This window comes from Homo sapiens, chromosome 8, assembly GCF_000001405.40.
Source record: "Homo sapiens chromosome 8, GRCh38.p14 Primary Assembly".
In the NCBI taxonomy this organism is placed as follows: domain Eukaryota; kingdom Metazoa; phylum Chordata; class Mammalia; order Primates; family Hominidae; genus Homo; species Homo sapiens.
In genome coordinates this window covers 29,429,207-29,440,094 of record NC_000008.11, presented here as the reverse complement: position 1 = coordinate 29,440,094, position 10,888 = coordinate 29,429,207, and positions in this window count along the sequence as shown.

Below are 10,888 nucleotides of genomic sequence, written 5' to 3'. Positions count from 1 at the left end.
AAAGTAAAATATAAATTGGCACTTCATCACTTCCCAGACAATGCAATGACCTTAGAACATTTCAACTCCATTTAATTCTTCCTGCCTTTTATACCATTGTTTTGTGACTTTAAATTCTATACATAGTTAAAACCTCACAAAATACTTCAATTATTGTTTTAGGTATCACTTTTTATTTGGATTTATTTAAATATTTAGCCTGTATGTTTTCTTCTTTCAGAATCTGCAAAGTCCAATCTGAGAATTATTTTCCTTCTACCTAAAACATTCCCTTTACTATTTCCTTGAGTGCAGGTTTGCTGCTGATGAATTCTCTCCATTTTTTATAATAATGACATCGTTTTCTCTTCATTTCTCAATTTTTTTAATTGGACCTGGAATTCTGAGTTTCCAGTTACTTTCAGAGCATTGAATTCATCTTTCCGTTGTCCTCTGGTTTCCATTCCCATGGCTGAGAAGTTAGCTGTCAGTCTAGCTGTTGCTCCTTTGAGGGTAATACATCTTTTTTGCTCAGGCTGCTTTTTAGGATTTTGCACTTGTTTTTGGGACCTATATCACAAATGGCTGCTACAAATTGATAAGAATCATATATATAAAGACCTTCCACAAAGCATTAAGAAAGCTACAACTAAAATGGGAAAAGAAGGGGAATGAAGTTTACAGATGAATAAATGACTTTTAAACACATGAAAGATGATTAATCTCGCTCATATTAAGAGACATGCTAAGTAAAATGACAAAGAAATGCCTTTTTTAAAACCTATCATATTAGACAAATCAGTAAGTTGATGTCACTGTGCTGGAAGGCTATGGGGAAACAGGCATTAGTGGTGAGAGTATAAATTGATAAACCCTCTTTGAGGTCCTATTTGGCTATCAAAATTTTAAATATGCATTACCTGATGATTCTGAAATTTCATTTCTGGGAATTTATCCTACCCACACATGTACAAACTAACATTTTTGGTTTGTTTTGAGACAGGGTCTTGCTCTGTCACCCAGGCTGGAGTGCAGTGGTGCAATCAGAGCTCACTGCAGCCTCGAATTTCTGAGCTTAAGCAATCCTCCTGCCTCAGCCTCCCAAGTAGCTGGGACTACAGGCACACACCACCACACCCAGAGTCTTACTATGTTTCCCAGACTGGTCTCAAACTCCTGGGCTCAAAAAATCCTCCTCCCTCTGCCTCCCCAAGTGCTGGGATTACAGGTGTGAGCCACCACACCCAGTCAAAATAACATTTTGTATTAAAATGTACCTTGTTTTCATAAGGTTTAATAAGACACAGAAATGACTGTCATGAAAGAAATTTTTACTCACAGTTTCCTAGAAACAAAAGGCACATCCATTGTACCACACAGGGCCACCTGGGGAAGCATCAGGATCAGTCAGAAGGTAAAGGGAGGAGAGGAAAGCATAGATGAGAGTCTTTACTGTGGTTTTCATGGAAAGGAATAAATAAAACTGCCTAAGCAGGATAGATAGGTTTAGGATTGGCTAATATGAAGAATTTCAGTGGGCTCTGGAGCAGTCTCTGAAATTAGCCCCCTAAGTTGTCTGGCACCTGGTCCTGGGGTGATTAGGGGAGATGGATCGTGGCTGGGAGTGTAAGAGCTCAGTAAAGGAGGTAGTTGGAGGATGGGCTGTGGATTGGTTGGTTTATGTTTGAAAGGTGCACTCCCAGGGGAGTAATTTGCTATCTCTAAGAATTGGCTAGTCCTGGAGAGGCAGTTTCCCCTGGGTCAGTGAGGCCGCAGGTGCCAGAGCATCAATAATGCAAAAAATATAAAATATAGTTAATACGTATTTATACAAGGTTATTCGTTGCAGCATTGTTTGCACTAGCAAAAATGGAAACAGCCTTAAGTCCATCAGTAGGGAACAGATAAATACGTTGTGAAGCATCCACTCAATGAACTACTATAAAAATAAATAAGGCCGGGCATGGTAGCTCACACCTGTAATGCCAGCACTTTGGGAGGCCGAGGCAGGTGGATCACCTGAGGTCAGGAGTTTGAGACCACCCTGGCCAACATGGTGAAACCCCGTCTCTACTAAAAATACAAAAATCAGACAGACGTGGTGGCATGCACCTGTAATCCCAGCTTCTAGGGAGGCCGAGGCAGGAGAATCGCTTGAACCAGGGAGGTGGAAATTGCAGTGAGCCAAGATCACACCACTGCACTCCAGCCTGGACGACAGAGGAAGACTTTGTCTCAAAAAATAATAATAATAATAAATAAAATAAAAATAAATAAATAAATAAATAAAAACTAGCTGTAATCCAGCACTTTGTGAGGCCACAGTGGGTGGATTGCTTTAGGTCAGGATATCGAGATCAGCCTGGGCAACATGGCAAAACCTTATCTCTACCAAAAAATATAATAATAATAATACAAAAAATTAGCTGGGTGTGGTGGCACATGCCTGTGGTCCTAGCTGGGGAGGCTGAGGTGGGAGGATTGGCTGAGCCCAGGAGGCAGAGGTTGCAGTGAACCAAGATTGTGCCACTGCACTCCAGGCTGGGTGAGAGTGAGACTCCAACTCAAAATAAATAAGTAAATAAAAACTCACACTTTCTGTACTAATTTGAGAGGCGATCTAGTTCCGTGGTTAAGAGAATGAGCTCTTAAGACAATAAGATTATGGAGCAGCTTCACCACTTTTAAAAAGGTTTTTAAACAGAAATTTAAAGGATTGTTACATAGTAGAGAAAGTCAATCCTCAAAGAAAATAACACTCACTCCCTTTTCACCTGGGTGTTTTCGTGGAGGACAATTGACCATGCTCAGTTGTCTGGGTTTGTAATTTCAGAGGACCAAGGAATGGCTCCCAGATAATCCATAGAAAAAGCAGAACTTGGTAAGGCCAATATTGAGATAAGACTGAGATACTTACCATGAACAAACTAGAACACATTCCAGGAAGTACATGTGAACTCCCCAGTGCAATGCATCAAACCACCGGCCTTGATTCTAGCAGCAAGAAGCAACTGTAAGAGCGTAGGCTATAAATATAAAGTATCTGAAGCAAAAATAGAGCAAGGTGTTAACACGTCTCCTCCAGACTTCATTCCACTGTCTTCACATTCTTGATATTTTCTCTGTCCTTCCAATTTTTGTCAGATATTTCAGAAGATCTCATTATTAGAATTTCTTGTTGGTTTTCAAAATCCTTTACAATAGAGGACTGAAGTTATGTGGTAAAATGGAAAGAGCTGGGGACTTGGAGAAGGAAGACTTGGTTTAATTATTAACTTTGGGATTTTGTTTTGTTTTGAGACTGCGTCTTGCTCTGTCACCCGGGCTGGAGTGCAGTGATGTCATCACAGCTCACTGCAGCCTTGACATCCCGGGCTCAAGTGATCCTCCCATCCCAGCCTCCTGAGCAGCTGGGACTACAGGGTGTGCAACCACGCCCAGCTAATTTTTGTATTTTTTGTAGAGATACGGTTTTGTCATGTTGACCAGGCCAATCTCAAACTCCCGGGCTCAAGTATTCCACCTGCCTTGGCCTCCCAAAATGTTGGGATTACAGGTGTGACCCACTGCACCTGGCCTAATTACTAACTTTGTGATAAACGATCTCTATGACCTCTCTGAGCCTCAGTTTCTTCTGCTGTAGAATGGACCACAGCGAAACCTGCTCTGCTTCACGGAACTGCTATTAATATAAAAATGACTTAAGGCAGATATATATGTAAATGCTAATGCACTATACAATCATGAGGTATGATCTGTCCATCCATCAATTCAGCCATGGACAAGACTAAAAGCTGTCTATCTAAAATCTGTTTTCTCCATTTCACTTACTAACAGCAACCCCGTTTTGTGGGGGAGGGAAAGTCATTGTGCTCGGGTTAAAAACTACATCTCCGAGGCCGGGCACAGTGGCTCATGCCTGCAATCCCATTACTTTGGGAGGCCGAGGAGGGTGGATCACCTGAGGCCAGGAGTTTGAGACCAGCCTGACCAACATGGAGAAACGCCATCTCTACTAAAAATACAAAATTAGCTGGGCATGGTGGTGCATGCCTGTAATCCCAGCTACTCAGGAGGCTGAGGCAGGAGAATCGCTTAAACCCAGGAGGTGGAGTTTGCAGTGAGCCGAGATTGCGCCACTGCACTCCAACCTGGGAAACCAGAGTGAAACTCCATCTCAAAAACAAACAAACAAACAAAAACTACATCTCCTATACCTTCTTGAATCTCAGAAGTCTGCTAGAGACTTCTTGGAAATACTTGTTTTCTAAATATGGGGACTACCTCTTCCCTTTTGTGCCTTCCTTCTTCTTCCTGCTGAAAATGTGGACGTAATGTTAAGAACAGCAGAGATATCTTAGAACTATGAGGGAAAAGCAGAGACCTCAGCCCTGATACTCTTGGGCCATTGAACTAACGGTAACCACTGCCTGTGCCCAGATTTCATGGTGCATGAGAAATCAAAATAAACAACCAAACGTGGCATTTAAGCATTGATAAGTGTCAGCTCCTGGCTCTTGGAGGTTGGGGGTGGGGGTGTGAAGCCCTGATTTTTAGCATTTGTTATTTTTGTGGTATAAATTCTTTCATTTAGGGCTGATTTCAAAAATAAAAAGAGATGTACAATAGCACACTATTATATAGTATTCCAATCACATGGATAATGTAAATAACATATTTACATATCTAATTTTCAATAATGGCTGTTTTTAACAATTGGCATGCAAAACTTCTGAAAATTCAAGAAACAGCTCTCGTACAACACACTGTTGGGTTTAAGCCAGCATTCATTGCATTATCTGTTTCTCTAGGAGAAGACAATCTAAATTAATACATCAGCCAATGTTTTCTTTCCTGTCATTCTTCAATTTTTCCCTACTACATAATCCAGATCAGTTCCTCGCCTAGTTCATTCTTGCCTTCATGCTTTCTATCACACGTTCCTTTCATTATTTTCTATCTTTCTGTCTTTTTTTTTTTTTTTTTTTTTTTTGAGACAGAGTCTTGCCCTGTCGTCCAGTTGGAGCGCAGTGGCGCAATCTTGGCTTACTGTGCAACCCCTGCCCCCTGGGCTCAAGCTATTGTCCTGCCTCAGCCTCCCAAGTAGCTGCAATTATAAACATGTGCCACCCCGCCTAGCTAATTTTTGTATTTTTAGTAGAGACGGGGTTTTCACCATGTTGACCAGGCTGTTCTCGAACTCCTGACCTCAGGTGATCCACTCCCATCAGCCTCTTAAAGTGCTGCGATTATAGGCATGAGCCACTGCTCCAGGCTTATTTTCTATCTTTCAAAAGGATAAAATTCCATCCTCACTGGAGATGAATACATTGATTACTGCTGTCTGGATATATTCAGACCTGTCCTGTTCCAAGCTTAGCAATTGAATGACAACACATTCTTGAGATGCATATGCAACAGGAAGTCAGGAGGGATGACTTTTTTTTTTTTTAATGCTAGAATAGAGGAGGATAGTAAGCAAAACATCTCATTTTGTTGTTGTTGTTGTTGTTGTTTTGGAGATAGTGAAGATAATGGGTATGATAATGAAGATAAGATAGGGGATAAATGCAAAGTATCTTCAGGTTCAAAACAATAGAATGTGGAAGAGCTCAAAGATCAGCAATATGGATAATCAACAATCTGAAACAGTTGATCACAGAATGAATCATTAGTCAATAAACCTATGAATATGTAAGTTGAAGAAAAGCCCTGGCCAAGAAGGAAGAAAGAGGAGTTTGGAGTAAGCCTCATTCTTTGCAGCTTCAGAAAATACAGAATCAGGAATACTAGGTAGAAAGTATTACATGGCCTATTTTGGCATAAGGGATAATGTTCTAACAACAAGCGTTGAAAGAAACAAACTCAAAGTATGATGAATTCCTCTTAGAATAATTCAAGCTGAAGCTAGCTAGGTACTCACTAGAGATGCTACAAAGGAGATTTCTGAAGAAAGAAGTAGGTGAATTCGCCATCTTCTAAAGTGCCATCTACAAATATGACTCTTTGGTAAGGAGTATATTGCTCTAAAGAGATGTAAGAAAGTTGCTGATTGTGGTTCTTACAGAATCCAATTTGAAGATGTAGAATCACTTTTAAAACTTGGTGTGGCTGGCCAGGTGTGGTTGCTCACTTGTAATCCTAGCACTTTGGGAGGTCGAGGCGGGCGGATGACGAGGTCAAGAGATCGAGACCATCCTAGCCAATATAGTGAAAGCCCATCTGTACTAAAAATACAAAAATTAGCTGGGTGTGGTGGCACACACCTGTAATCCCAGCTACTTGGGAGGCTAAGGCAGGAGAATCACTTGAACCCAGGAGCCAGAGACTGAAGTGAGCCAAGATCATGCCATGGCGACAGAGCAAGACTCCATTTCAAAAAAAACTTAGTGTGGCTTTGATTTGATCATCAAGGCCTACAGCATTGCATGTCTCACGTTCTTTTCTACGTACTCAGCAAGGCCAATCTCAGTATAGCTAATTGTATCTTATCTATTGGTGCATAGCAAGCCAACATTTTGTGGCTTTAAATAAAAACGATTTTATTTTCTCACAAGTCTGCGGGCCAATATTTTGGACTGGTTTCAAGTGAGCAGGTGACTTTTGCTGGTGTTATCTGAAGTTATCCATTGAGGCTACGGCCCTGGTGGATTGTCTGGGGGCTGCTTGATCTAGAGGGTCTCAACTAGGATAGCACCTCTGTTCTACAGAGTTTAATTCTCCAATAGACTAGCCTAGGCTTCTTCATACAGCAATGGTAGCATTTCAAGGTGATAAGAACAGAAGCTGCCAGACTTGGAAGTCATATAATATCACCTCTCCAACATTCTATTAGTCAAAGCAAGTCACAAGGCCAGCCCAACTTGAAGAGGTGTGGATATAGATTTCACTTCTTGATGAGAGGAACTGTAGATTTTGTGGCCATCTTACATCTACCATATTAGTAAATCCACCTAATTTTATTATGTTTTATACAGATGCCTAGTCTGCTATCTGTGTTTGCTGGTGATGATATTTCAACAGAATGGGAGTGGAAATCTTTTCCAAAAAAGATCCAATGAGGCAGTTGTCACCCCCTTACTTTTTCCGTAGTTGTTGATAAGGCCAGCCATATCAAACCTTTTCTAAAACCGTCTGTCACCAGCATCTTGTATGAAGAGGAGGCAGAATGGTCCCAATCTGCTACCTACAACAGATTGCCAGAGAAATGGTTGCTTTCTTTACACTCAAGTGCCCTTTCCCCAGCACCCTTGCTGATAAGCCAGCTTTCGCCAAAGACCAATAAGTATGCTGACATTTCACTAAGAGTTGTTATCTCTAGATACCTGTGGATAAATGTGCTAATAAGAGGGTTTCCTTAAGGGCTCTTCTATCCATGATTATTCCAAGCCACAGTTGAATACAAACATCATCAGAACAGGGGGTTATGCTTCATAGCCTAGAATGCTTCTGTAATACTTAATCCTCTTTACGCTTGTGACAGATCAGCCTCTGAAATAGGAGCACAGCCCTAGGGGAGAGAGTGGCTTAATCATCAAGCTTCAGGTAGGAGAGCACCAACGGGTAATGACTCTGCAGCCCCATGGCGCTCATAGTCTATATATTAACAGTCCAATCAAGCCAGAAACCCAAGTAATTATTTACCATCAAACTTTGCTATTCAAATCATTTATGGAATAATTCTCAGAGAGGGGTTAGTTGTTTCTTACACTTTCTTGGTAGAGAAAGAAGTCAATGAAAAGAAGTTTTCATATCATGCAAAGGCTTTACTCCAAGACACTTACTTGGTCCCCCATGCTGCTCAAACAAGCCCAATGACCAAATATCTGAAGTTTGTTCAAGTTTCTTTCTTTCTTTCTCTCTTTCTTTTCTTTCTTTCTTTTTTCCCTTTCTTTCTTTCTTTTTTCTGTTTCCCTTCCTTCCCTCCTTCCTTCTTTCCTTTCTTCTTTCTTTCTTTCTTTCCTTTCTTCCTTCCTTTCTTTCTTTCTCTCTTTCTCTTTCTCCTTTCTCTTTCTTTCTTTCTTTCTTTCTTTCTTTCTTTCTTTTTCTTTCTCTCTCTCTCTCTCTCTTTCTTTCCTTCCTCCCTTCCTTCCTTCACAGGATCTGGCTCTGTTACCCAGGCTAAAGCGCAGTGACATGACAATAGCTCACTACAGCCTTGACCTCCTGGGTTCAAGGGATCTTCCCACCTCAGTCTCCTGAGTAGTTAGGACTACAGGTGGGTGTCACAATGCCCAGCTAATTTTTAATTTTTTTTGTAGAGAAAGGTCTCACTATGTTGCCCAGCCTGGTCTCGGTTTTCTTTTTTTTCTTTTCTTTTTTTTTTTTTTTTTTTGAGATGGAGTTTTTGTTCTTGTCACCCAGGCTGGAGTGCAGTGGCACGATCTCAGCTCACTGCAACCTCTGCCTCCAGGGTTCAAGCGATTCTCCTGCCTCAGCCTCCCGAGTTGCTGGGACTACAGGCACGCGCCACCACACCCCGCTAATTTTTGTATTTTTAGTAGAGACGGGGTTTCACCATGTTGGCCAGGCTGGTCTCAAACTCCTGACCTCGTGATCCACGTGCCTTGGCCTTCCAAAGTGCTGGGATTACAGGTGTGAGCCACAGCGCCCGGCTGGTCTTGGTTTTCAGAGCTCAAGTGATCCTCCCACCTTGGCCTCCTAAAGTGCTGAGATTACAGGGGTGTGCCACTGCACCCAGCCATTTGTTCAAGTTTCTAGAAAATTTTACTTGTCACTTCTTGAGTTTTTCATGTTCTGTCTGGACTGTCAGCAGCTGTAGGTGTTACTTTATCAGGCACATAAACATGCCTTTATTTATTTATTTATTTATGTATAGATGAGGTCCTGCTATGTTGCTGGTCATGAACTCCTGGCCTCCAGCAATCCTCCCACCTTGGCCTCCCAAAGTGTTGGGATTACAGGTGTGAGTCACCACTCCTGGCCTAACGTTACCTTCTGCCTCTCCTTCCTCTTGCAACTCTACCTCTCAGCATCCCCTTCTTTTTTATCTGCTCCCGTTTTTCCATTATCCTAATAGGTCTTGCTTACTGTTTAAAGTAGAATCTAGCATTTGAAACAGAATCTACTCAGTATTTTAAACACAAAGAGATGTCATTATAGAAGTGGTAGAAAGGTTGGAGAAATGGGATCTCAGATGAAGCTCCAGGAGAACGCCCAGAATGCCAACGAATTGACCACCAGGGAGGTTCTTCCTCTGCTAAAATCAGGAAAGTTGCAAATCCGAAGGCTGTTCCAGAAACTACTGTGTTCAAGAACATATCACCAAAGCTGCAATCCAGGGATGAAGAAATAGAAATCTGAAAACCAGGATCAAAAAATTATTGCTTCTGGCCAAGCGCGGTGCCTCATGCATGTAATCCCAGCACTTTGGGAGGCCAAGGCGGGCAGATCACCTGAGATCAGGAGTTCAAGACCAGCCTGAACAGTATGGTGAAACCCCATCTCTACTAAAAATACAAAAATTAGCAGGGTGTGGTGGCGGACGCCTGTAATTTCAGCTACTCAGGAGGCTGAGGCAGGAGTATTGCTTGAATCCGGGAGGTGGAGGTTGCAGTGAGCTGAGATCGTATCACCGCACTCCAGCATGGGTGACAGAGCAAGACTCTGTCTCAAAAATAAAAGAAAAAAAAAGTTATTGCTTCTTACCACCTATAAAGCTAGACCAGTGCTCCATTAAATTCCATAATCCCGTGACCTTGTTTGCCTGCAGAAAATAGCCAAAAGCATCATGCAATTGGCCACCATATCATCTTGTCCTTGTAAATATCCTGTAAGTATCTCTGATGAAAGGAAACAATTTTCTGGCTGAAAGCCTGTCTGGGAAGTCCAGTCATTTTTAGTTTTCTAATCTCTGCAGTAAGGGAAGACATTTTAGAAGGAGGTGAACATGAGTACCTATTGACCAAATCCTACAGGGGACTCTCAGTGGTTACCCTTCCCTCTAATAACCTCAATTAGAATGTTTAACAAATAAGCACATGCCAGGCACTCCACTCATTTTCAACATGCTTCCATTGAATGCTAACATCACTCCCATAAATTAAACATGATAATGACTCCAGTTTTCTAGATGAAGAAACAGAGGCTCAGGAATTTAAGTAATTTACCCCAGAATACTCAGCAGTAAGGGAAGAGCTGATAATCAAACCCAGCTTTATGCAATGCCAAAGAAGATCTGCATCAAAACCTATCTCACCTTAACTACTATGATAGACCACGTTACAGAGTTGTTGACTCCCTCCCCAGACCATGGGCTCACCCAACGGAGCACATAAGAATAGTCTTCCACTCTCCTTTCTAGAATGAGGCTGATTGCTTCATTCATTTAACCCACTCCAGCAAGCCCTGGATCCAGGAGTAGACACTGGCCAAGTAGAGGACTGACAATACCCTTACGATATGATGTTCATGGTGGTTTTGCCACCCCTACACCAACTGGTTTTCTTAGAAACAAATATCTTTGCAGAGAAATCTAAAAAGACAGAATTTAATGACATAAAAAAAGAGCTTGAAAATGGTTTTTAGCTTAGCATTTATAATCATCCCATGCACAATAAATACCATTCACAAATGTTAGGGAAAAGAACACAGACCCTCTAATATGCTGCAGACCCAATGAATTGCCTTTGGCAGGTGAAAGTCAATATAAAGGTATAGACTCACCCACTAATGGGATGCAAAAACAATTAAAGCACTTTTTTTTTCTATTCTGATAAAGAATATAGTTTAGGATCTGATGGTGAATTCCTCCTCTGTAGGTATTTGAAGTATCTTTCTGTCACAGCTGAGTACCAGTGTTTATATCAAGAAAACAAAAACACAAAAATATTGCTCCTGGTCTAGTACTTGTTTTTTTTGTTTTCATTCTAATTCAGTCAAGGTTTAA